The sequence below is a fragment of the Homo sapiens genome, chromosome 8 (genome assembly GCF_000001405.40).
Source record: "Homo sapiens chromosome 8, GRCh38.p14 Primary Assembly".
Classification (NCBI taxonomy): Eukaryota; Metazoa; Chordata; class Mammalia; order Primates; family Hominidae; genus Homo; species Homo sapiens.
In genome coordinates, this window is record NC_000008.11 from 39,328,280 (window position 1) to 39,356,265 (window position 27,986).

A 27,986-nucleotide genomic window follows, 5' to 3' on the forward strand; every position below is an offset into this window, starting at 1 on the left:
GGTCCTATAGCTTGCTTCTGTAGTTTTCTTCTAATATTGGGAGCTGCCTGTGTAATAAACTTGTCCTTCAGGATGAGCTGTCCCTTGACTGAATTAGGGGATAAAGAGGCGTGTTCTATTAGTGCTTCTCTCAGCCTTTCCATAAAGGCTACAAGATTCTCATTTGGCTTTTGGTTTATTATAGATAGTTTAGAGTAATTGAGTGGTTGGTCCTGGTTTTTCATAGGCCTTCTAAAATGCATATTAAAAAGTGCTTTCTTTTCCATCTAGCTCCTGAGCTATTGGGGTTTCAGTTAGAGTTGTCTACTGGAACTGCTTCCCTCCCAATTGGGAATGGTGTTTCTACTACTTTTTCACTTTCCCAATCTGCTTTCTTACCTTTTGGTGTATTATGGGAGATACACATTGTTCATTTTCAAAATTCTCTGCTGCTTGCAGAGCTGCCTGCTTTTCAGCTGCAGTGAGGGTCTGACTTAGGACCAATATGACATTACTTCTTATTTTGGAGAGCTTTTATATACCTATCAGGGTCATCAGAAAATCAGCCTAAGTCTCCCTTTATTTGCTTAAGGTCCTATAATCAGAAGCGAACTTGAAGGGGCCCCAACTAAGGGGGATCCTTAGATGGTTCCCCTGGAAATTGCTTTTTTAATTTTGGGAAACTATTTTCCTTGGGCCTGCCTGATATGATTGCTCAAAGAGCTGGGTTGATCTTACAATGCTTGTAAAGGTTTAGTAAAAATGCTATGCCCTTGTGGAAAAGAAAATGAGTTGCTTTTTTCTTCAATGTTCTGAGGTTAAGGAAGTGCCAGTGTTTCCGAGTGCATTCCAGAGGGGTGCAAGCTGAAGATAATTTGTTACCCATTTAGAAAAAGAAAAGAGAATAAAAGCGTCCTCTTATTCTCCTTCCTTTCCATATGACCCAGAGTGGAGGAGAAGACAGGGAGCATCCTCGGACATTTTTCCTTCCCTGGTTTCTGGATCCTGGCCCCATGTTAAATGTGCCACCCATGGTTGAAGGCATGGTCCTTCAAACCATGGAATCAGATGAGCTAAGCGATGGGACTAACCACGCTTTACCCATGCAACCTTAGCTTCTCTGCCTTGTGTGATTCCCCTCTGACTTCCTAAAGCTGTGTGATCCTCCTGGCTCCCCGAAAAATGGATCTCGGGAGAGACTGTGTCACCTTTGGGCAAGGCTCCTTTAATGTAGGCAATGTGCTAGATTGCCTGCTATTATGGCCCGTGCTAAAGCATTTACCCTTAAAAAAAATGGTTCCGGTTATCTTCTGAATTTAAAATCCCCTTACTAATTAAGTACTATCTTAATTGGAGACAGAATAGGTGCCTTAAAAGAATGTAGCAACTGAATGGCCATTTTCCTGCTGATGGGACAATATCCAGACTAAAATTTGGCTGTGGAAGACATCTTACTCCTAACTGTTGCAGCAAAGGACTGGCAATGTGTCTTATGAAGAGGATTTCTATTTCCACTAGATGAAGCGCTGTTGGCTTAGAAATACCATGTGCTCATTAGCAGTGAGTGACCTCACTGTGGGTGAAAGGCGAGAACTCTCTTCCTAGAAGGTTGCAATGGCATTTTTCCTGAGCTATATCCCCAGTCTACAGCATTTCCTGATCTTGCCTAACAGGATTATTTCGCTAGCCCATAAAAGTTCCCACACATTCGACACACACACAGAGAGTAAGAGACTACAGATAGAGAAGAAAAGTTTGGCGACAGGATAGCTGGAGGAGAGCCTTGAAATTAAAGGACAGATTTAAGGTGGAAGTTCGCTCCTAATACTCACCACTCCGATGAATGAATTCTCGGCCCATGAACCAAAATGATACAGCTCTGATAAATGAAGGAATGGGGGGCTCGGAACAAAGAGGAACCCCGGGTGCAGCAAAGAAGTAGTTGCTTATATTGGGAAGCTAAAGGAGGCAGTATCTAATTTACGTAGGGCCCAGGGGATTGGTTTAACCAGGTGTATCATCCACATAGCCCATGAGAAACCTGGCCCTCCTACCTTAGTCCTTTAATATGCAAATGTGGGTCACCACACTGTTTTATCACATGGTGTTATCTAAAGGTGGCCATAATACTTGGCACATCTGGTAACAAGAAGGAAAAGGTGGGACTCGCCATGTTAAGTGGACCCAGATTTTAATCATCAGCATTTGCATATCAAAGCTTGCTGGCCTGGCCCTTCCTGTTGCGTTTTCTGTTAAGTAAGAAATGTTTCTTATTACAGGAAAATTTGCACCAAGAACCTTTACCCTTTCTAGTGGCCTAAAAACTGTTTCTTAATAACTCCTGTATTATTGCCATGAACGTTGGTGTACAAATATTTTTATGAGTCTGCACTTTCAATTTTTGTAGGTATATACCCAAAAGTAGAAGGTTAGCTCGTATGGTAATTCTATGTTTAACTTTTTGAAGAGCTGTCATACTGTTTTCCACAGCAGCTGCACCATGTTCCATTCCCATTAGTAATGCACAAGGACTTCAGTTTCTTCCCGTTCTCACCAACAATTGTTATATTCAGTTTGTTTTATTAATAATAGTAATTGTAATGGGTGTGAAGTGGTATCATCTTGTAGGTTTGATTTTCATTTCCTTAATGATTAGTGATGTTGAGTGTCTTCTCCTGTGCTTATTTCTCATCTGTAGGTCTTCTTTGGAGAAATGTCTGTTCAAGTCCTTTGCCCATCTTTTAACTGCACTGTTGTTTTTGTTGCTATTGTTGTTATAGAGACTGGGGATTTCTTTATGTATTCTGGATATTAATTCCTTATCTGATATATGATTTGCAAATACTTTCTTCCATTCTGTGTGTTGCCATTTTACTCAGTTGATTGTGTCCACTGATGCACAATAGTTTCTAATTTTATGTTGGCTTTTCTGTGTATCCAGTTATAGTTTAGTCCATTCATCAAAAGCCACATTCACAAATTCCTTAAAAAATAGGCACCTTTACTCTGGGAGGCTTGCCAAGCTTCTGAGTGACAACTCCCTTAATATTAGAAACTGTTTTGTATAACTAAAGGGTGTCTACTAAGTACAATCTTAAATCTCTCAAAGGCCTCAACAAAATGTACTATAGTTACACCCTTGATGTGAGATAGTTTCTTACTTTGAGTGTGAATGGCTGGAGATAAGGATTCTCCTTACAATCGGAACAGTTTGTTCCTTTAGCATAACTCTTTCTTCTTTTACTTTATCAAAAACAGCAAATATAAGCTAATTGACACACTTAACACTCTGATTTTAAATTATTTTGCCAAAGTTCACAAATTGATTAGGTACATTTAAAATTTTTTTTCGAAGACTACACATTGGGTACAGAGTACACTGCTCAGGTGATGGGTGAACCTAAATCTCAGAAATCACCACTAAATAACTTAATTATGTAACCAGACACCACCCTTTGCAAGTAAACTCTCAGGATTTTAGTTCCAGCAAATGAAGGCAAAAGTGACTAATCAGAGCAAATGAGACTCAGCCAGGTGCATCAGTCGCAGGGTGCATGAGCCTCATCCAGCTGGCACAGAGCACTGCTTCTGTGACCACCAAGCTGCAGACAAACCAGCAGACTGCAAAGAACTACATCACTTAGAAGCTGATAGAAGTCTTATTATTGTGATAGATTATGCTGAAACATTGAGCCTTACTGTACTTAATCATTTCATATAATTTTCACAATGACAGTAAAATCCTGTCACAAGTGGCACTGTCAACTTTTCTGCTTTTCTATGTGCATTCCCTTTTCCTCACATTGACATTCAAATTACAGAGTCTCCTTCGTCTAAAGGAGCTGTCCTATTGAAGCAGCATCCTTGCCTGGGGAAATACCCGAGGTTTGTCGTCTCGTTCTGAGATTAATGACATGGACACACACACATGGAATGGGTTAAGGAGCAGGAAGTTAAATAGGCAGAAGAAAGGAGAGAGGAGAGCAGCTTGCTCTTTGTTATGAGAGAGAGATGTCCAAAAGGGAAAAGTCGGCCGGCGGCGGACTGCTCCAGATCTTATAGGCAGGATGGAGGAGGCAGTGTTGGATTTCCGTAGGCCCCACAGTTTGGTTTGATCAGGTGTAATGTTTACATGGTGCCCAGGGAAGGCTGGTTGCCCTGCCCTAATCTTATTATGCAAATGGACTTTCTACTTGGCCAGCGCCATCTTGTCTGCTCCTTACTGTACGTGTGGCTGGCAAAGAGAAGATGGAGCTGCCATTTTGAACATGCCTATTCCCAGGAGGCCTTTTCCTATTGGCACAACTGCCGGCATTCGCCTGTGCAAGCTTCTAGCTTGCTTGTCTATGTCTGCAGCTTGATTTTACAGGCTGATGTTTGTTAGAAAAGAAAATGATTTTGGAGTTGCTTTTCATTAAAAGGAAAACCTTACTGAGGACTCCCGTACCCTCAGTGTCTGCCTAAGTAATTTCTTCTTAACTCCTATATAACCAGCTCGCTAATGGGACCAATTCATTTGACCTGCACTGCAGTACAGCCACAGAGCTGAGTAATATGTATAGGATCCAGGGGGAATGAGCCCTCCCAGCTGGCCCCTCCTGCCATTTGATTCAGAGATGAGAGTTCCTCTTTCTTTTGACTTAGGCTGATTTATAGAAAAAAAGCACATTCCAGAATAATTAAGTAAAGTATTAGCCAGATAGTCTTCAGCTGCTGGCTTGGATTATATAACAACTCCCTAATTCTAGAAGCTAAGGAACAGAAGGCCAGCATTTTCTCTGATTTCCTATAGTTTTAATGCTTTTCCACTCTCCCCTTCCCTTCTCCCAGCCCACTGTCCCACCACTTCACTGCATATGCCTTTGAAAGTCTATGTGGATCATATTCTTCAGCTATTTTGATTATCTTGGGTGCTTCTGCTTACACTGCCATGTATCCTGGCCTCATAAAATATTCACTTTACGTGACCCTTGCTTGCTGCCTTTAACACACTCACCATAGAACTCTTGCAGAGACAAAATTCCAGGAAAAGCACCTGCAACTGTTAGTGCGTTAAACCAGTATTCCGAGATGACTAAATGCATTGCTTCTGCCGTAGAAGAAAATGCTGGGGTGAAGCGAGAGCACAGGTGAAAGACCTGGTTTTCCTTAAATGGATAAAGCCTCAGAGGCTTTTATATTCTTGGAGGACCCAGTCCTGATTCTTCTGATCATTTTTCAAATCAACTTAATGAATATGAGATGGGCTGTACATTAAACTGATATAACAGGTAAATATCACCTGCATTTAGCATGGGCAGCTGATATAGGGCAACTGTTTTCTGTGATTGTAAAGAATTTGTAAGGGGAGTAAAAATGTGGGCCGGATTTCTGAATGAGATTTACGTTCTGCTCTCACTCTTGACCCGCTGCCACAATAAACACGGGGAGATATTTTTAAGCTCTCATGAGTAAAAGCAATGCCAACTGCTATGGATTGCTTTTGGTAGAATTTTGGGTAATTTCGCATTACAAATGTTTCCTCTACTTACGCCTTCCTTAAAAGATAACTAAATGCCAAGCCCACTGGAATAAACATACAGAGTAAAGAGCTACATATACCCCAACATATTGTTTTTCCAAAGCTACAAGCCTATGTCAGATGCTTTGTACCCCACACTGCTGTCCAAGTGAAGCCTCCTTCCTCTATCTTCCAAGTACAGCCCAAACCCTAAATATGACCTTTAAAAGGACCCTTTACAAAGTGGGTGTTTAAAGTGAATAAAATGTCATCTAATCATCTATTCCTTTTGCCTTAAGCTGCAGAGTCATCCACGTTTGCTATTTCCTTCAAGTCTACTTTCTTTTCCTAAACACCGGAAGCTTCAGAGCCACTCACGCATTGCAGTAATTTTGCTGGCTCAGGGTAAAAAATAAGGCCTTTTCTGTGTTGATGAAATCAGGCCGGTTCCTCAGTAGGATCTGTGGTCTAGGGTGACCCTGGAGAGACATGAATTTCTAATTTTTATACTTTACTCAAATTTCATAAATTATTTTTATTTCAAAATCCAGTGCTTTAGGGCTGGGCGCAGTGGCTCATGCCTGTAATCAGCACTTTGGGAGGCTGAGGCGGGCAGATTGCTTGATGCCAGGAGCTTGAGACCAGCCTGGCCAACATGGTGAAACCCGGTATCTACTAAAAATAAAATAAAAAATTAGCTGGGCGTGGTGGTGACACCTGTAGTCCCAGCGACTCGGGAGGCTGAGGCAGAAGAATTGCTTGAACCCAGGAGGCAGAGGTTGCAGTGAGCCGAGATCGTGCCACTGCACTCCAGCCTGGGTGACAGAGCGAGACTCCCTCTCAAAAACATTTTTTAAAAATCCAGTGCTTCATAATGAATTGATTAGGTGCCTAAGGGTATCAGGGAACCTGCCCCGATATTCACGTAGGTTCTTTTCTATTTTCCTTAAGCGTTGGCCAGCTTGATCTCCATTCATATTATATGGTATTTCATTCATGGCTTCTCTGGGAGAGAAGCACTGAGTTGTACCTCTCAGTCAGCCAACAACACTCCCGCTTGTGATGTTCCCGTATAATAATGAGAAAAGAGGCTCCCATGGGTATCCCACACACGTGCATAAAAGAAATGCCTTCAAAGTGAAAATGATGCCACGCTACACCTAGTGTAGGATCACCTGGGTTAGCTGGGGAAAAAAATGCTTCAGTGTCTGTAGTCATGAAGTGATTCTGTATTTTATTGTAGAAATCATATCAAGTATCAGTTTCAAACGATTTTTCTTTTTTTTTTTTTTGAGATGGAGTCTCGCTCTGTTGCCCAGGCTGCAGTGCAGTGGCACGATCTCTGCTCACTGCAGCCTCCGCTTCTCGGGTTCAAATGATTCTCCTGCCTCAGCCTCCCAAGTATCTGGGATTACAGGTGCTCACCACCGCACCCGGCTAATTTTTGTATTTTTAGTAGAGACAGTGTCTCACCACATTGGCCAGGCTGGTCTCGACTCCTGGCCTCAGGTGATCCACCTGCCTTGGCCTCCCAAAGTGCTGGGATTACAGGTGTGAGCCACCGTGCCTGGCTACAAGCAATTTTTACATACTCCATGCTTAAGTTGAGATGTTGCCTCTACTTTCTTTCTTTCTTTCCAGGAGTGTCAGCAGCTATAGTGAAGTTTCAAGAAGGGGGAATGCTGTCGGGACTGAGCAGGCAATGGCCTAAAAACAATAAAAAGCCCTACTAAAAGCTGGTTTTCTTTTTATTATTATCCTGTACTGACAATTCTTAGTAATATCAGTGATGAAATAAATCACTGGGGAAGACCTCTCCCACACCAGCCCCTAGTTGATATGGCACTGTGAAAGCACTCCAATATCTTTCTTTCTTTTTTTCTTTTTTGAGACGGAGTCTTGCTCTGTCACCCAGGCTGGAGTGAAGTGGCGCAACCTCGGCTCACTGCAAGCTCCGCCTCCCGGGTTCAGGCCATTCTCCTGCCTCAGCCTCCCAAGTAGCTGGGACTACAGGCACCCGCCACCACACCCGACTAATTTTTTGTAGTTTTAGTAGAGACGGAGTTTCACTGTGTTAGCCAGGATGGTCTCCATCTCCTGACCTCGTGATCCGCCCGTCTTGTCCTCTCAAAGTGCTGGGATTATAGGCGTGAGCCACTGCACCCGGCTTCCGATATCTTTCTTAGGAAGGATACATCATCATTTAAATAATGAAAGCAATATATATTCACTGTAGAACATCCAGAAAAATTTGAAAAAATATTTTTAGGAGAGAATCAAAATTCACATTAACTCCACCACTTATTGATAATCATAGATCTTTATGTCATTATTACTTTTTATTATTAAAAGTAATTCTGCCATATATATCCTTGTTACATATATTTCTTTTGACATTTGTGATTTTTTTGGGGAAGTACATTCTTGAAAGTTTAACTTTTTAAAAAGCATCAAATATATATCATCATGTCCTTAAAAAGTATTTATCAATTTATAATTCCTAGATTAGTGTACACCTCTCCCAACACAAAACTTTATCATGAAAAATAAATCCTGATTATTTAATTGGCAAAACTTTTTTGAGTTTTCCAATTGTTTTGTTACTACGTTTAATAGGTCACTACTTTTTTCAGGATAATAGTCATTTCCTCATTGCTCTCTTAGCTTCTGATAACAAGCAGCTCACCATTTCTCTAGCCTTTGCTAGAGAAGAGCTCCCCTGATGCATCTGGAACCCTGGGTTGCTTTCTTAGACTGAGAGTAGTCACACATATTTGTGGTGCTTGTTATCATAGCACCTTACTTACAAGCACCAATTTTAAATACTCTAATACTCTGTAAAGAACCACCACAAAAAAGTGGCTTAATGCAAAAGCCATTTATTTAGCTAATAATTTTGCTAGATATTTCTTTTGGTCTGTATGTGGCTTGGCTGGGAAGTTCTGCTTGTCTCAGCTGGGCTCATTAATGCTTCTGAAATCAGCTTCTAGTCAAAAAGGTGTCTTTGATTCTGGAAGTTGGCTAAATATTAGATAGGGTCACTGGGCTTTGTGTTTTGTGTCTTCTAGGCGGGTAGGCCAGGCTTCTTCACATAACAAGTGTTGCAGGGATCCCACAGTGTCAAGAGAGAGAAATCCAGTGCTCAAACACTTTAACATCTTTGCATGTGTCACCTTTGCTGCTGTTCCACTAGCCAAAGAAACAGAATGTTCATCCTCCTGTCAAAACCCCCACTACCCTTCCCAGCCTCTGGTTACCATCCTTCTACTCTCTGTGACCATTAGTTCAATTGTCTTGATTTTTCAATCCCACAAATAAGTGAGAACATGCGATGTTTGTCTTTCTGTTCTTGGCTTATTTAACTTAACACAATAATCTCCAGCATCCATGTTGCTCCAAATGACTGGATCTCATACTTTTTTTATGGCTGAGTAGTACTCCATTGTGTATATGCACCACATTTTCTTATGCATTTATCTCTTGATGGACCCTTCTAAATCTTAGTTATTGCAAACAGTGCTCCAAGAAACATAGGGATGCACTGATTTCCTTGCTTTTGGGTATATACCCAGCAGTGAGATTGCTGGATCATATGGTAGCTCAATTTTGAGTGTTTTTGAGGAAAGTGCAAACTATTCTCCTCAGTGGTACATCCCCACTAGTACATCCCCACTAGCAGTGTACAAGGGTTTCCTTTTCTCTGCATTCTCTTCAGCATTTGTCATGTGATGAGCCTCTTATATATTGTGGTTATTAATCCCTTGTCAGATGGGCAGTTTGCAAATATTTTCTCCCATTCAATGGGTTGTCTCTTCACTTTGTTGATTGTATCTTTCAATGTGCAGGATTTTTTTTTGACAGAGTCTTGCTCCGTTGCCCAGGCTGGAGTGCAGTGACATGATCTCGGCTCACTGCAAGCTCTGCCTCCCAGGTTCATGCCATTCTCCTGCCTCAGCCTCCCAAGTAGCTGGGACTACAGGCGCCTGCCACCATGTCCAGCCAATTTTTTTTTTGTATTTTTAGTAGAGACAGGGTTTCACCGTGTTAGCCAGGATGGTCTTGATCTCCTGACCTCGTGATGCACCTGCCTCGGCCTCCCAAAGTGCTGGGATTACAGGCGTGAGCCACTGCACCGGGCTTACTGGAAAAAGAAGAAATTAGAACATGTATTATAATATGTTGTGAAAAAGGATGTTTCTAACACAGTATACGGTATCATTTTAATGGTAATCCACTCATTGAGGATTTTCCCACTTTCTCCACATACTGTTTTTCAGTGTAGGATTACATTTATAATGATATCCATTTTAGAAATTCAGTATTCAATTTTCATAAAAAAGAAATAGTACTACAAATTGAGTGCATTAAACATTGCCTAAAATCATGTTGTTATATATTTTTATTAAATCATTATTTGCATATTATCACTGATTTCCTGGATTTCAATTGGAGTGGATTCCTATGGCTACTTTAGAATATAGCATATTGTAAAATGAAAGAGATGTGAAATATTAATTATATCCACTAGTTTTTAAAAATAATTTATCTTTTTCAGTTTGATTACATGGGCTCTGATATAAACACTGTAACGCAGAAGGTTATTCAGATAATTGGCCTTGTTAACAGTGTAAGTTTTTAAAAACTATTTTATTTTATTTATTTATTTTTTTAATTTTTAATTTTTTTTAAAGTATTTATTGATCATTCTTGGGTGTTTCTCGGAGAGGGGGATTTGGCAGGGTCACAGGACAATAGTGGAGGAAAGGTCGGCAGATAAACATGTGAACAAGGGTCTCTGGTTTTCCTAGGCAGAAGACCCTGCCGCCTTCCGCAGTGTTTGCGTCCCTGGGTACTGGAGATTAGGGAGTGGAGATGACTCTTAACGAGCATGCTGCCTTCAAGCATCTGTTTAACAAAGCACATCTTGCACCGCCCTTAATCCATTTAACCCTGAGTTGACACAGCACATGTTTCAGAGAGCACGGGGTTGGGGGTAAGGTTATAGATTAACAGCATCTCAAGGCAGAAGAATTTTTCTAAGTACAGAACAAAATGGAGTCTCCCATGTCTACTTCTTTCTACACAGACACCATAACAATCTGATTTCTCTTTCTTTTCCCCACATTTCCCCCTTTTTCTATTCGACAAAACCGCCATTGTCATCATGGCCCGTTCTGAATGAGCTGTTGGGTACACCTCCCAGACGGGGTGTCGGCCGGGCAGAGGGGCTCCTCACTTCCCAGACAGGGCAGCCAGGCAGAGGCGCCCCCCACCTCCCGGACGGGGCAGCTGCTGGGTGGGGGCTGCCCACCACCTCCCTCCCAGACGGGGCGGCTGGCCGGGCGGGGGCTGCCCCCCACCTCCCTCCCGGACGGGGCAGCTGGCTGGGCGGGGTCTGCCCCCCACCTCCCTCCCGGATGGGGCGGCTGGCTGGGCGGGGGCTGCCCCCCATCTCCCGGATGGGGCGGCTGCTGGGCGGAGGGGCTCCTCACTTCCCAGATGGGGCGGCTGCCGGGCGGAGGGGCTCCTCACTTCTCAGACGGGGTGGCCGGGCGGAGATGCTCCTCACCTCCCAGACAGGGTGGCGGTTGGGCAGAGACACTCCTCAGTTCCCAGACGGGGTTGCCGCCGGGCAGAGGCGCTCCTCACATCCCAGACGGGGCGGCAGGGTAGAGGCGCTCCCCACATCTCAGACGATGGGCGGCCAGGCAGAGACACTCCTCACTTCCCAGACGGGGTGGTAGCCGGGAAGAGGCGCTCCTCACTTCCCAGACTGGGCGGCTGGGCAGAGGGGCTCCTCACATCCCAGACGATGGTTGGCCAGGCAGAGACTCTCCTCACTTCCCAGACGGGATGGCGGCGGGGAAGAGGCGCTCCTCATTTCCCAGACTGGGCAGCAGGGCAGAGGGGCTCCTCACATCCCAGACTATGGGCGGCCAGGCAGAGACGCTCCTCACTTCCCAGACGGGGTGGCGGCCGGGCAGAGGCTGCAATCTCGGCACTTTCGGAGGCCAAGGCAGGCGGCTGGGAGGTGGAGGTTGTAGCGAGCGGAGATCACGCCACTGCACTCCAGCCTGGGCACCATTGAGCACTGAGTGAGCGAGACCCCGTCTGCAATCCCAGCACCTCGGGAGGCCGAGGCTGGCAGATCACTCCCGGTTAGGAGCTGGAGACCATCTTTGGTCTTTCTCACAATTCAAAATACATTCATTTCACCCAAGTAGCCCCCAAAGTATTAACTTCTAGCATCAACTAAAAAATCTGAAGTTCAAATTCTAATCTAAGTCAGATGAGGGTAAGACTCTAGGCATGGTTTATCCTGAGGCAAATTCCTCTCCAGCTGTAAGCCTGTGCAATTAACAAGTTGCATTGTTTTTTGGTGCTTCCAAAATACAATGGAGGAACAGGCACAGGATAGACATTCCCATTCCAAAAGGGAGAAATAGGCAAGAAGGAAGGGGTAACTGGTCTCACATAACTCCAAAACCCAACGTGGAAAAACAGTATTGGCTTAAACCTGGAGAATAACCTCCTTTGACTCCATGTCCTCCATCCTGGGCATACTTGGGTGGAGGTTGAGTCTGTAAAACATCAGGATTCTTGCTTCTTTCTGGTCTTAGTCCACCCAGTAGCTTTCACATGTTGGAGTCTCATGCCTGTATCTCTCCCAGACTGAGGTTGCAAGCTGGTGGCTTTAAAGTTCTGGGGCCTCAGGGACTGCCCCACTCCCATGGCTTCACTAGGCATTTCCCTAGTGGGAGCTCTCTGTGATGGTCTCACTCTTATGGCCTTGATAGGTTTTGCTCTAGTGGGAGCTCTCTGCAGTGGCTCTATCCCTGTGACAAGTCTCTGCTTGGGCTCCCAGGTCGTTGATGACATTATTTGAAAAGATCTAGGTGGAGGTCACCATGGTCTGGCAACTGTTGTGTTCTGCAGGTTTGCAGAGTTAGCATCATGTGGACATTGTCAAGGCTTACCACTTGTGCCCTTTGGAGAGGTGGCTGAGCCACACCTGGGCCCACTTGAGTAATGGATGGGGAAGCTGAGAAGCACTGTGTCAGAATGCAGAGTCCCAGGGCAGCCCTGGGCAGTGAACCTGTGGAGCACACCCCAGGCCTGTTCTCTGAAACCATTCAGCCCTTTTAGAGCTCTGAGCCTGTGATGGGATGATGGGAGAGGCATCCTCAGAGATCTCAGAAATGCCTTCAGGGTCATTCTCTTGTTGTCTTCCTAGTTAAGCAGGATAGAACCTGGCTTTATTGTATCCATATTAATCTCTTTAGCAAACAGTTGCTTTTTTTTTTTTTTTTTTGAGACGGAGTCTCACTCTGTCACCCAGGCTGGAGTGCAGTGGTGCGAGCTCAGCTCACTGCAACTTTCGCCTCCTGGGTTCAAGCAATTCTCCTGCCTCAGCCTCCAGAGTAGCTGGAATTATAGGCACGTGCTACCATGACTGGCTAATTTTTGTATTTTTAGTAGAGAAGGGGTTTCACCATATTGGCCAGGCTGGTCTCGAACTCCTGACCTCAAGTAATCCTCCTGCCTCAGCCTCCTAAAGTTCTGGGATTACAGGTGTGAGCCACCATGCCTGGTCACAGTTGCCTTTTTAAACATGCTTTTTTATTTCTTACATAGCCATCCTGAAAGTTTTCAAATCTGTCTGTTCTGCTTCTTTTAATGATAAATTCCATATTTAAATCATTTCCATTCTCATTTTACTATAAGCAGCCAAAAGAAGCCAGGCAGCACCTTGAACACTTTGCCACTTAGATATTTCTTCTGCCAGATATCCTAGTTCATCACTCTTAAATTGAGTCATGGATGGGGAAGCTGAGAAGCACTGTGCCAGATTGCAGAGTCCCAAGGCAGCCCTGAACAGTGAACCTGTGGAGCACAGGATGTCTTCCACATGGTCCTAGGACGCCAAAACAATTCCACTAAATTCTTTGCAACTGTGTAGCAAGGATGGCCTTTACTTCTGTTTCCAGTACCTTGTTTCTCATTTCCACCTGAGGCCTCATCAGAATGAACATTAAGTCCATATTTTTATTGGTTTTATGATCACAACCACTTAAGTAATATTTAAGAAGTTCCAGACTTTCTCTACACTTCTTCACTTCTTTTGAGCCCTCACCACAATCTCCCTTAATGCTCCATTTATGACAATCTAGGACTTTTCTGCTTCTCCAAACTCTTGTAGCCCCTACCCATTATTCAGTTCCAAAGCTGCTTTTACATTTTTAGAAATTTGTTATAGCAATAGCTCCACTACTGGTACCATTTTTTTTTCTTATTCTGATTTGTACTGTTAAAACAGAATGCCCACGACTGGGTAATTATAAAGAAGAGAGGTTTATTTGCCTTAGGGTTCTGGATCCTGATAAATTCAAGGTTGAGAGGCCCACATCTTGTGAGAGTTCCTTGCTGTGTTATCCCATGACAAAAGGCATAAGGGCAAGAAAGCAGACACACGTACTGGAGAGGGGATCAAACTCACTTTTATGACAAACCCACTGTTCTGAAAATGAACTTGTTCTTGTGATAATGACATTAGTACATTCATAAGGACAGAGCCCTCATGATTTAATCACCTCGTAAAGGTCCCACCTCTAAACACTGTTGCATTGGGTATTAAGTTTCTAACACATGAACATTAGGGGACACATTCAAATATGGGGGTGATATTATACATAATTCAGCCTTAAAAAACAAATACATTTTGTCATTTATGACAACATGGATGAATCTGGAGAAGATTATGCTGAGTGAAATATAATCCAGGCACAGAAAACAAATTCTGCCTGATTTTACTTATAGGTAGAATCTAAAAAAGTCAAACTCATCAAAGTAGAGAGTAGAATGGTGGTTACCAGAGGCTGGGGGTGGGGAGTGGGGAATGGGGAATGGAAAGATACTGGTAAAAACGTACAAAAGTTTGGTTAGAAAAAAGAAATAATTTTAGAGTAAATTGCACAGTGCAGTGACTATAGTTAATAATAACATGTTGTATATTTCAATATTGCCAAAGAGCACATTTTAAACATTCTCATCACAAAGAAATAATAAATACGTGAGGTGAGGGATATGCTAATTAGCGTGATTTATACATATATTGCAATATATACATGTATCGAAACATCACATTGTGCCTCATAAATATATATAATTATCATCAACTGAAAATAAAATTTTTAAGAGTTAAAATGCTTTGATACCTGCATTTAAAACTGGCATTGTACAATATAAAGATAAATGGTAAAATTCATGCTAATAACTTAGAATTTTAATTTAGGACAACACTGACTAGCAAACAAATAACACCATGACTCCTGAGAGACTGCTGAAAAAAGAAAAAGCTTTTTGTTTTAATACCATTAACAGTAATTTTCCCTGCTTTATACATAAGGGGCCCCATATTTCCATTCCTGAAAACTAAGCTGTTAGTCCTAGTTTTTCTGCATCAATGCCAAGACTTGATATGCTCAGTATGTTCAATTTACGTCTCTTTAGTTGGTATGTAGTATTATCTCATATAGGTTGTATATGTACTTCCCTAGAAGCTAATGATTTGAACATATTTTCATACTTCATATCCTTTGCATAGCTTATTTGGTAATGTGCCTATTTAGATCTTTTTTCCACTTTGTAAAATAAAAATATAGGTTTTTGTGCTGTTGATGAATTACAAGATTTGTTTGTATATTCTGGCTATGGTTTCTTTACCAGATACATGATTTTCAATTGTTTCTTTGTAGTCTGTGGCTTGTCTTTTTTCTTTATAGTTGTCTTCTCTGGAAGACAGGTTTTAAAATTTTGATTCAAAAGTCCAATTTATCAATTTTTATGCAACATGCGTTTATAGCTCTTATAGTTAGTTTATGATACATTTTGCAATTATTGTACATGTGTCCAAGTTCATTTTTATTTTGTCATATAGAGTGACAGTTATTCTAATACTATTTGTTGAAAAGACTAGCCTTTTACCCACTTAATTGTCTTGGCAATTTTGTCAAAAATCAATTTACCATGAATGTGTGGATTTATTATTGGAATATCTATTCTAATTCATTAACCTGTATGTCTATCCTTATAGGAAAGCACACTGTCTCTATTACTGTAGCTTTACACTGAGTTTGAAATCAGGTAGTGCAAGTGCCATGAGTTTTTAAATATTTTCCCAAATTGTTTTGGCTATTCTAGGTCCTTTACATATTCATCTATATTTTATTATCAGCTTTGTAATTTCTGCAAGAGTCCTGCTGGGATATTGCATTTTCAATATCATAGTTGTTTTTTTTTTTTAAGACGGAGTCTCGATCTGTTGCCCAGACTGGAGTGCAGTGGCATGATCTTGGCTCACCACAACCTCTGCCTTCTGGGTTCAAGCGATTCATCTGCCTCAGCCTCCCAAGTAGCTGGGACTGCAAGGTGCGTGCCACCACGCCTGGCTAATTTTTGTATTTTTAGTAGAGACAGGGTTTTGCCATGTTGGCCAGGCTGGTCTTGAACTCTTGACCTCAGGTTATCCGCCTACCTTGGCTTCCCAAAGTGCTGGGTTTACAGGTGTGAGCCACTGCGATTGGCCAAAACTCCTTTTAAGAAAGGATGAGACGGTATTGGTGATGGAGCTTGCTGTAGCAGGCAAGCAACATCAGTTTGCAAGGAAAAAAAATTCATCTTGTTTGTGCTGTCATTGAACAGGACTGACAACAGCATGAACAATAGTCAACACCACAGACATTTCAATTGGTTCAGCTAACACAATTCTGGCTGAAAAATTAAAGGTGAGCAAATTTTCCACTCAGTGGGTGCCAAAGTCATTGTGTCCAGAGATAGATAAGAGCAGATAAGAGCAGAACTTTGATGGAGATCAGATAAGAACAGAACTTTGATGGAAATTTTTTGAAGCAATTTTGAAAAAAAAATCAAATAAAACTAGTGAATTTTGCAAGTCATTGGATACACAATCAGTGTATTAATATAACAATGAATTGGATTTCTGTATATTTGGCAACAAATAGAAAATGAGATAAAAGGTACAATTCCATGTATAATGTTTTTCAAAACAGGAAGTATATAGATATAACATTCATGAAGTATGTACAATTGTGTACAAATAAAAATTAAGATTCTGAAACATTTCATTGAAGAATTGTAACAGGAGGTGGAACAGCTTTACCAGCACAATCCTGAAGATAAAACACAGTCAAAGCAATGGCTACCAAGTGGTGGACGTGGTCCAGCCAAAGCCAAAGTGAACCAGTCAAGAGCAAATGTCATGGCAAAAGCTTTTTGAGATACTCAAGATACTTTGCTTGTTGACTTTCTAGAGGGCCAAAAAACCTGCCAATTAGGAGACTATTTTGAGAAACTTAGCCAAAGCTTTCGCAGAAAAATGCCTATGAAAGTTTCACCCGAGAGTCCTTCATTATAACAATGCTCCTGCTCATTCTTCTCAACAATAAGAGCAATTTTGTGAGAGTTTTGATGGAAAATTATTAGGCATCCATCTTATAGTCTTGATTTGGCTCCTTCTGTCTTCTTTTTGTTTCCTAATCTTAAAAACTCTTTAAAGGGCACTCATTTTTCTTCAGTTAATAATGTAAAAAAGACTTCATTGACCTAGTAAAATTTCCAGGATCCTCAGTTATTTAGGTCCGGACTAAACAGTTGATATCATTGCTTACAAAACTGTCTTGAACTTGATGTTGAGAAATAAAGTTTATATATTTATTTTCATATTTTCATTTTATTTTTTCATGAACTTTTAGAGGTCCGTGTATCTATACCAGATCTTGTATAAAACAAGATGTATGACTAAAAAGAATTTTGGAATGTGTGTGTGTGTGTGTGTGTGTGTGTGTGTATATATATATACATATATATATACACACACATATATTTATTTTATTATAAATATATATTATTCTTGGAGTTAAAAACATGTTAAAACATGTTAATATAATAAGTATATTTTAAGATTTGCTAATTGTCTTCTATGAAGAATAATGCTCTTTAAATCTCTCTTTAAAGCACCATATTATGGGATATATAAAAATATACAACATTAATTTGTGTCATACCCATATTTTTATATATTAGGTACTCTGGTGGTGTAAAGGATTTTAACATCTGTAGCTTGGATGACTTTAAATATATTTCTTCTCATAATGGCCTTACATGTCTTCAGACAAACCCTCTTGAAATGCCAACCTACACACACAGGAGAATATGTGGCAATGGGTTGTTGGAAGGAAGTGAAGAATGTGACTGTGGCACTAAAGACGTTAGTAGAATATTTTTTCTAAAATTTAAAAAATGTTCTAGTAGTAAAGAAGATAAATGCCTTATCTATTAGTAAAATAGATTTGAAAAATATATTCTTTGGAAAAGATGGGAGCCTTTGTTTTCTAATTTTATTATTTTTGGAAGCATGGTCCTTAGATAATTTTTGTCTTCAGTTATTGTCTTCTGACATTATTTAGTGTGTGTATTAGCTCCAAACGTAAATTTAATTACCACTAAGAGTGGTGAAGGGATTGAAAGATATACCCTCAACAACAAGCAGAAATAAAAACAGTTAACAACATCTAAAAACGGTAGATTATAACCAATGGGGTAGCAAAATGCATGGTTTGTTAATATAGGTAAAAACATTTTCTGTGGAAAGGTGATTCTAATTAAAATATTTTGAAATTAAATCTATCATAATTATAAAAAATATAAAAATATACAACCAAGATCAAACAAAAATAATTATAAAATATGATAAAGGGACATCCGCAAGATGGCCCATTAGACAGCACTAGAGGTGCCTAATGCTGGTCTCCCAACACAAGAGAGGACCAAAACAATGGATAAACAACTACATTTGACCAGAGTGAGTCATAGAGTGCTGGAGTACAGGAGGGGAGTGGCAAAAACCCAGTGGTGCACAGAAACTCAGAATGACTGCTTAGAGAGAAGAAGGAAACACTGCGGTTATGACAAGATAAACGCATAATGATAAAGAACAAGAAGTAAAACTCAGTCTGGCTTAGAAATATAGATTACTGGCAATCTTCAAAATAATAAAACTAATGAATCTTGCAAGTCATTGAATACAAAAGTCAACATATAACAATGAATTGGATTTCTGTGTAGAAACAGCGAACAGAAAATGAAATCAAAGGGACAATTCTACATATAATGTTTCCCAAAACATGATATGTATAGATATAACAAAATAACATGCAATTGTGCGCAATAAAAATTAACATTACTCAGGAAAAGCAAAAAACATTGAAATGAATGGAGACATTTCCCACTTTCATGGATTGGGAGACATAATATTGAGATTTCAGCTCTACACAAATGGATCCATACATTTAACACAGCCCCAACCAAAATCCACTTATCTTTTTGTAGAAATTGACAAGCTGATTCTACGATTGATATGGAAATGGAAATGACCTAGAATAAACCAAGCCATGAAAAGAAAAACAATAAATTGGAGCACATATGCTAATTTTCTATAAATTTCAATATTTTCTATGAAGTTATAATAATGAAAAGGTAGTATTGACCAAAGGATAAATATATACAATTAATAAAGTAGAACAGAGAATCCAGCTATAAAATAATATTTATATGGCCATTTTGCATGGTAAGACAAAGGGCTATTCAATGGGTGAAGAAAATCTTTCCAACAAAATTGTATGAACTAAACATATGTGTAAATAAAATAAAACTTCACCTCTCACCAGACACAAAAAATTGACTTGAAATAAATCAAAGACCTAAAAATTAGAGCTAAAGCTCAAAAACTTTTGGGATAAAACATAAGAGAAAATCTTTGTGACTGGTGGTAGGCAAAATTTTTTAGATTATGGCGAAAAGAAGAAGTTTAAAGAGAAAAATGATAAGTTGTACTTTCTCAAATTTAGAACCTTTTTCACTTAGACTCTGATAAAAATAAAATGGCAAGCTCCAGAATGTGAGAAAATATGTACAATTTGTATATTGACAAGTGGCTTTTATTCAAATATGTGAAAAGACAAGACTTAGTTTCTGGTCAGGTATCTAAGACACTTGGAAGTTGCCACTCCAATGTGTCAACTAGTAAAAAGGTGAACAGACTGAATAAGCTGCAACTCTTTTTAGATCTGTTGGAGAAGTGAGATCACAGGATGAAGCACTGCCCCCAAATTCAATAGACCAACAAGTGAATACAGAGGATCACAACTTGCTAGAACAGAAGCATGTGAGTTAAACTTTCACACAGCCAGCGCTGGAGTAGAAAAGCCTAAACTAAAATTGACAAATGTCAGAGGCTCAGTGTATGTAACTATGAGAGTTAAGAACTCCAGGAGGACCCAGTTATTGAGGTTGTTATCATATTTTTATGAGCTTTACCTCTAGAAGTTTAATCTTGTTCTCACAGTGAATATCAGAGAAAAATTCCCTGTGCTTCCAGAAGAAGGAGGAGAAAAGGAACCATTTTGAAATAAGTCAGAGTGTTCAGTTCCTACCAAAAAGAAATGGAAGGGAAAAATTAGGATGATTATGTTATTATGAATTACACTATCCCTGAAGTGGTATAGTGTTATTTGAAAGTGGACTTGGATTAGTTGTAAATGTATATTTTCATCTCTAGGGCCACCACTAAAAAAATGTTTTAAAAAAGTATAACTGATACACTAAGAAAAGATAGAAAATAGCATTGTAAAATGCTCAGTTAAACACAAAAGGCAGGCTGGGCATCGTGACGTGCACCTGTAGTTTCAGCTACTTGAGAGGATGAGGTGAGAGGATTCCTTGAACCTAGAAGTTCAAATCAGCCTGAGCAACATGGTGAGATCCTTTTTCTAAAAAGAAATAAAAAAGGAAAAGAAAAAAAAGACAAAAACAAGAAGAACCAAAGTCACACAAATAGAAAACAGCAATAAATATAGTAGTTATTAATTTAACTGTATTCATTATCACTTTGCTTTCAATGATTTAAGTGCACCAATTTAAAAAATAAAAGAGATTGTCAGAATGGATCAAAAACCAAGATCTAGCTCTCTGTTGTGGTGGGTAATACTGAGTGTCAGATTGACTGGAATGAAGGATGCAAAGTATTGTTCCTGGGTGTGTCTGTGAGGGTGTTGCCAAAAGAGATTAACATTTGAGTCAGTGGACTGGGAGAGGCAGTGGACTGGGAGAGACCCACCCTTAATCTGGGTAGGCACCATCTAATCAGCTGCCAGCACGGCCAGAATAAAAGCAGGCAGAAGAACATTGAAAGACTAGACTGGCTGAGTCTTCTGGCCTACATCTTTCCCCCATGCTGAATGCTTCCTGCCCTTGAACATCGAACTCCAAGTTCTTCAGCTTTGGTACTCTTGGACCTTCGACCACAGACTGAAGGCTGCGCTATCGGATTCCCTACTTTTGAGATTTTGGGACTGAGACTGGCTTCCTTGCTCCTCAGTGTGCAGATGGCCTATTGTGGGACCTCACCTTCTGATCATGTGAGTCAATACTCTTTAATAAACTCCCCTTTATATATACATCTATCCTATTTGTTCTGTCCCTCTAGAGAACCCTGACAAATACAGTTGTCTACAAGGAGCCCTCTTTAATATAAATATACATGTAGATAAAAATTACAGAATGGAGAAAAATATGCTATGCAACAGTGATAAAAAAAAATCCAGGAGTAGCTATATTAATTTCAGACAAGCAGTCTGCAGAATGAGGGACAATTATAATGACAAAGGGGTCAATTCTGCAAGAAGACATAACAATTTTTAATGTGTATGTGACTAACAACAGAGTATCAAAATACATGAGGCAAAAACTGATAGAACTGTAAGGAGAAATAGATGAATCTGTTATTATAGCTGGAGACTTCAACACTGCTTTATCAGAAAAAGGCAGATCCAGCAGACAAAAAATCAGTAAAGACATAGTGGAACTCAACAATAACTTTAACCAACTGGATATAATGGACATCTATGGATGACTTCATCCAACAAAAGAATACACATTTTTCTCAAAGTCATATTGAACATTCAGCAAGACAGGCCATGTTCTGAGCCACAAATACCACTAAACAAACTTCAAGGAATAGATACCATAAAATGTCTGACCTCAGACCACAGTGAAAATGAACTAGAAATTTGTAACAGAAAGATTGCTGGAAAGTCCCAAAAACTTGGAGATTAAAAATCACATGTCTAAATAACACATGGGTTATCTAAGAAATATCAGGAGAAATTTAAAAATAGTTTGAACTGAATAAAAATAAATACACAGTTATCAAAAGCCATGGTATTCAGCAAAACAGTGCTCAGAGTAAAGTTTATAACATTGGTTGCATGTATTAGAAAAGGAAAAATATCTAAAATCAACAGTGTAAGCTTCCACCTTAAGAAACCAGTAAAAGAACAAACTAAAGTAAGCATAAGAAAAAAAATAATAAAAATTAGAGCAGAAATCAATGAAACTGAAAACAATAAATTAATAGGTACAATCAATAAGATTAAAAGATGGTTTTTTGAAAAGATCAATAAAATTAATATGCCTCTTATCAGACTAAGAAAAAAGAGAAATGACACATATTACTAACATCAGAAATAAAAGAGAGTACATCACTACAGACAGGGTATTAAAAGGATGATCAAAGAGCTATATGAACAACTCTATGCCCACAAATTTTATAACTTAGATAAATTGACTAAATCCTTGAAATACAATCTGCCAGATTTAAACAAAAACAGACAATATTAATAGGCCTACATCTATTTAAGAAATTGAATAAATAATTAATAACCTTCCAGAAGAGAAAGCATCAGGCCCAGGTGAATTTACCAGTAAATTCTACTAATCATGTAAAGAAAAAACATATACCAATTCTCTATAGTCTCTTTTAGAAGATAAAAGCAAAGGAAATACTTCTTAACTTATTCTGTGAAGTCAGCATACTCAAATACTGAAAACCAAAATGAAGGCCTTACAAAGAAAGAAAACTACAAAACAGTATCACTCAAAAGCATAGAGGCAAAAATACCCAACAAAATATTAGCAAATAAATTCCAACAATGTATAAAAAGAATTGTACAACATAATCAGGTAGGATTTATCCCAAATGTGCAAGGCTAGTTCAACATTTGAAAATCAGCTAATGTAATCCATCACATCAACAAAGTAAAGGTAGAAAAATTATGTGATCATATTAATAGATGCATTAAAAGCATTTTATAGAAGTTAACAATCATTCATGATAAAAACACTGAGTAAATTAAGAATGACAAAAACTTCCTCAACTCAATTAAAAAATATCAACAAAGAACCGACCTGTGAGGAATTGGAAGCTTTTTCACTAAATCAGGAACAAATGAAGGATGTCCCCTTTCACCACTACTTTTCAATATCACACTGGGAGCCCTAGGTAATGCAATAAATGATAAATGTAAATAAATTGATACACATTCGGAGGAAGGAAATTAAAGTGTCATTGTTCCCAAATGGCATGATAGTCTATGTAAAAAATCTGAAAAAATCAGCAACAGCAAAAAACCATGTGAAACAAATAAGTGGTTATAGCAAGGTTGTAGGATACAAGGTTAATATATGAAAGTCAACCTTTTTCATATATACCAACAATGAACAGGTAGAATTTGAAATTAAAAATGCGATACCATCTACATTCTCATTCCCTGAAATTAAATACTTAGGTATAAATCTAAAAAAATGTTCAAGATCTATATGAGGAAAAGTATAAAACTCTGATTTTAAAAAAAGAAAAAACCAAATAAGTTAAGCAATATTCCATGTTTATAAATAGGAAAACAATATTTTCAGATGTCAGCTCTTCCAACTTTGATCTAGAAATTCAATGCAATTCCAATCAAAATCTCAGAAAAGTTGTTTGTGGATACCGATAAAGTAATTCTAAAGTTTGTATGGAGAGGCAATAAACCCAGAATAGTCACAATATTAAAGGACAATAACAAAGTTTGAGGACTGATACTACCTGACTCAAGAGTTACTATAAACGTACAACAATGAGGAAAGTGTAGTATTTACATAAGAATACACAGATAGATTGATGGAATGGGATACAGAGCCCAGAAATAGACCGATATAAATATAGTCAACTGATTTTTGACAAAGGAGCTAAGATCATATGATGGAACAAAGATAGTATTTTCAACAAATGGTGCTAGAACAACTGGATATCCATGTGCACAAATGTGAATATTGACACAAACCTTATACGTTTTGCAAAAACTAACTTAAAATGGATCACACTCCTAAATGTAAAATGCAAAACTGTAACACTTCTATGAGATAACATAGGAGAAAATCTAGAAGATCTTGGGTTTGGCAATGACTTTTTAGATTAAAAAAACCAAAGGCACATACATGAAATAAATAATTGAGAAGATGGGCTGTATTGAAATTTAAATAATGTCTCTCTGCAGAAGATGCTTTCAAGAAAATGAAAAGACAAGTCACAGATTTTTGAGAAAATATTTGCAAAAGACAGACATTATAAAGGACTTTATCCAAAATACACAAAGAACTTTTAAAGCTCAATTATACAGTTTGACTGTGTCCCCACCCTAATCTTGTCTTGAACTGTAGTTCCCAGAATCCCCACATGTGGGGGGAGGGACCCAGTGGGAGGTAATTTAATCATGGGGGTGGCTACCCTCATGTTGTTCTTGTGATAGTGAATTCTCATGAGATCTGATGGTTTTATAAGAGGCTTTTCTCCCTTTTGCTTGGTACTTCTTGCTGCAGCCATGTGAAGGATGTGTTTGCTCCCCTTTTGCCATGATTGTAAGTGTCCTGGCTCCCCTGCCAGCCATGCTGAACTATGAGTCAATTAAACTTTTTTTATAAATTACCCACTGGCAGGTATGTCTTTATTAGCAATGTGAGACTGAACTAACATAGTAAGTTGGTACCAGGAGTGGGAGGCTGCTGTGGAATTGACTTTGGAACCTAAAGATGTGGAAGTGGCTTTGGAACTGGGTAACAGGCGAAGATTGGAACAGTTTGGAGGGTTCAGAAAAAGACAGGAAGATGTGGGAAATTTTGGAATGTCCTTGAGACTTGTTGAATAGCTTTGATGAAAATGTTGATAGTGATATGGACAATGAAGTTCAGGCTAAGGTGGTCTCAGATGGAGATGAGGAGCTTCTTGGGAACTGCAATAAAAGTAATTCTTGCTATGCTTCAGCAAGAGACTGGCAGCATTTTGCTCCTGCCCTAGAGATCTGTGGAACTTTGAACTTGGGAGAGATAATTTAGAGTATCTGGCAGAAAAAATTTCTAAGCAGCAAAGCATTCAAGATGTGACTTTTTAAAATTTATTCACAAAGATATTGTTTGGAATTGGAACTTATGTTTAAAAGGGAAACAGAGCATAAAAGTTTGGAAAATTCACAGGCTGATGATGTGATAGAGAAGAAAAAAAAAACCATTTTCTGAAGAGAAAGAGAAATTCAAGCTATCTCCAGAAATTTGCATAAGTAATGAGGAGCCAATGTTAATCACCAAGACAATGGGGAATATATCTCCAGGGCATGTCAGAAGGGCAGCCCTTCCCATCACAGACCCAGAGGACTAGGAGGAAAAATGGTTTCATGGGCTGGGCCCAGGGTCTTGCTGCTTTGTGCAGTCTCAGGATTTGGTGTCCTACATCCCAACCATGGCTAAAAGGGCAGAGGCACAGCTCAGGCTATGGCTTCAAAGGGTGCAAGCCCCCCAAGCCTTGGCAGCTTCTACGTGGTGTTTAGCCTGTGGGCACACAGAAGTCAAGAATTGAGGTTTGGAACCTCTGCCTAGATTTCAGAGGATGTATTGAAATGCCCGGATGTCCAGGCAGAAGTTTGCTGCAGGCTGGCACCCTCATGGAGAACCTCTGCTAGGGAAGTGCAAAAGGGAAATGTGGGGTTGGAGCCCCTCCCAAAGAAGTCCCCACCATGGCACTGCCTAGTGGAGCTGTGAGAAGAGGGCCACCATTCTCCTGAACCTAGAATGGTAGATCCATTGACAGCTTGCACTGTGCACCTGGAAAAGCCAGAGACACTCATGCCAGCCCACAAAGAAAGCTGGGAGGGGTGCTGTACCCTGAAAAGCCACAGGGGCACAGTTGCCCAAGGCTGTGGGAACCCACCTCTTGCATCAGTGTGACCTGGATGTGAGATGTGGAGTCAAAGGAGATCATTTCAGAGCTTTAAGATGTGACTGCCCCAATGGATTTTGGACTTGCATGGGGCCTGTAGCACCTTCATTTTGGCCAATTTCTCCCATTTGGAATGGATGTATTTATGCAATGTCTATACCCCATTGCATCTAGAAAGTAACTAACTTGCTTTTGATTTTACAGGCTTATAGGCAGAAAGAACTTACCCTGCTGGGAAAGCATGATTGTGTTTTAAAATGTGACGACATGAGATTTGGGAAGGGCCATGGGCACAATGATATGGTTTTGCTGTGTCCCCACCCAAATCTCATTTTGAATTGCAGTTCTCATGATCCCCATGTTTTGTGGGAGGGACCCAGTGGGAAGTAATTGAATCATGGAGGTGGTTACCCTCATGCTGTTCTTGTGATAGTGAGTGAGTTCTCATGAGATCTGATAGTTTTATAAGGGGTTTTTCTCCCTATTGCTTGGCACTTCTCCTCGCTGCAGCCATATGAAGAAGGACATGTTTGCTTCCCATTCTCCCATGACTGTAAGTGTCCCGAGGCCTCCCCAGCCATGCTGAACTGTGAGTCAATTAAACCTCTTACCTTTATAAATTACCCAGCATTGGGTATGTTTTTACTAGCAGTTTGAGAAGAGACTAATACACTCAACAGTAAGAAAACAAACAACCTGAGTAAAAAAGAGCCAAGGACTTTAACAGACACCTTGCCAAAAAAAGGTATACAGATGGCAAATATGAAAAGGTGTGCCACATCATATATTATTGCTGAAATGCAAATTAAAACACCAAGGTACCACTACCTACCTATTAAATGATCAAAAATCTAGAACACTAAAAACACAAAATGCTGATGAGGCTGTGGGGCAACAGGAATTCTCATTCATTATTTAATAAGCAAGATGAGTGGAATGCAAAATAGCACAGCCATTTTGGAAAATAGGATGGTGGTTTCTTTTAAAACTAAATATGCTCTTACCATATTATCTGGCAATCACTCTCTTTAGTATTTTACCCAAAAGAGTTGCAGATTTATGTCCACATATAAACATGCACACAGATGTTTCTAGTAGCTGCACACAGATGTTTCTAGTAGATTAATTTTTAATTGCCAAAACTTGGAAGCAACTAAAATATTTTTGAATAGGTAAATGAATAAATAGTCTTTGCTGCATTGGACAATGGAACAATGCTCTAAAAATATTGTCTATTAAATAAAAAGTGCTAAAAAGAAATGAGCTATCAAGCCATGAAAAAACATGAAGAAATCTAAGATATGTATTACTAGGTCAAAGAAGCCATCTGAAAAAGCTGTGTACCACATGGTTTCAACTATATGACATTCTAGAAAAGATAACAGTATGGGGACAGTAAAAAGATCAGCAGTTGCCAGGGGTTAAAGGGACGGGAGGGATGATTAGGTAGAACACAGAGGACTTTTAGGACAGTGAAACTACTCTGTATGATACTGTGGTGGTGGATACATGTCATTATAAATTTTTCAAACACATACCATGTACAACACCAAAGTAAACCCTAACTAATGTAAAATTGAACTCCAGGTGTAATGGTGTGTCAAGGTAGGGTTATCATTTGTAACAAATGTACCACTCTGATCTGTTGATAAGGAGGGAGGCTGTGTATGTGTGTGGGCGAGGCATGTGGAAAATCTCTGTACCTTCTGCCCAATTTTGCTGTGATCCTAACAATGCTCTAAAAATATTTTATATTAAACAAAATTTAAAAAGACAAAATCTGTATTTCTTGAGAGTACATATTATAACTCAATTAAAAGGAGACAAATGACCTAATAAAATTAGGCAAAATAATTTGGACAGTTTACAGTAGATTATTTATAAATGACAATAAGAAAATGAAATGATGTTTAATATCACTAGTCATCTGGGAAAAATAATTAAAACCACATCATATATACTGCACACATATTAGAATGTCTGTAATAATACATCCCCTTCTGATAAAAATAGTGAGTTTTGTTGAGATGTAGAGCAACTGAAATTTGTGTAAATTGCTAGTTGGGTGTAAAAATATTTGAAGCATTTTGGCCATGTCTTATAAAGTTAAATATATACTTTCCTTTTGACCTAGATTTCCATCTCTGAGTATTTTTTTTCCAAAGAAATGAAAATATATATCCCCCAAAATATTTCTACATGAATGTTTAGAGCTGCTTTATTCATGGCAGCCAAATACTAGAAATAATCCAAATACCTATCATTATTTGGACAGATACATTGTGGTATTTCTAGTCATTGGAAAACTACTCAGCAATAAAAAATGAACAAAATGCTGGTAAA

At 39.3% G+C, this 27,986-nt stretch overlaps 1 pseudogene across 1 annotated transcript in view; it reads left to right on the top strand.

Moving 5' to 3' along the window:
* ADAM5 (ADAM metallopeptidase domain 5 (pseudogene)) overlaps window positions 1-27,986 on the top strand; it is a 102,747-nt pseudogene that overhangs the window by 13,648 nt on the left and 61,113 nt on the right. Inside the window, exon 8 of the transcript NR_001448.2 lies at window positions 17,582-17,765. The product of NR_001448.2 is annotated as an ADAM metallopeptidase domain 5 (pseudogene) (transcript). The remainder of the gene's footprint in view (window positions 1-17,581; window positions 17,766-27,986) is intronic.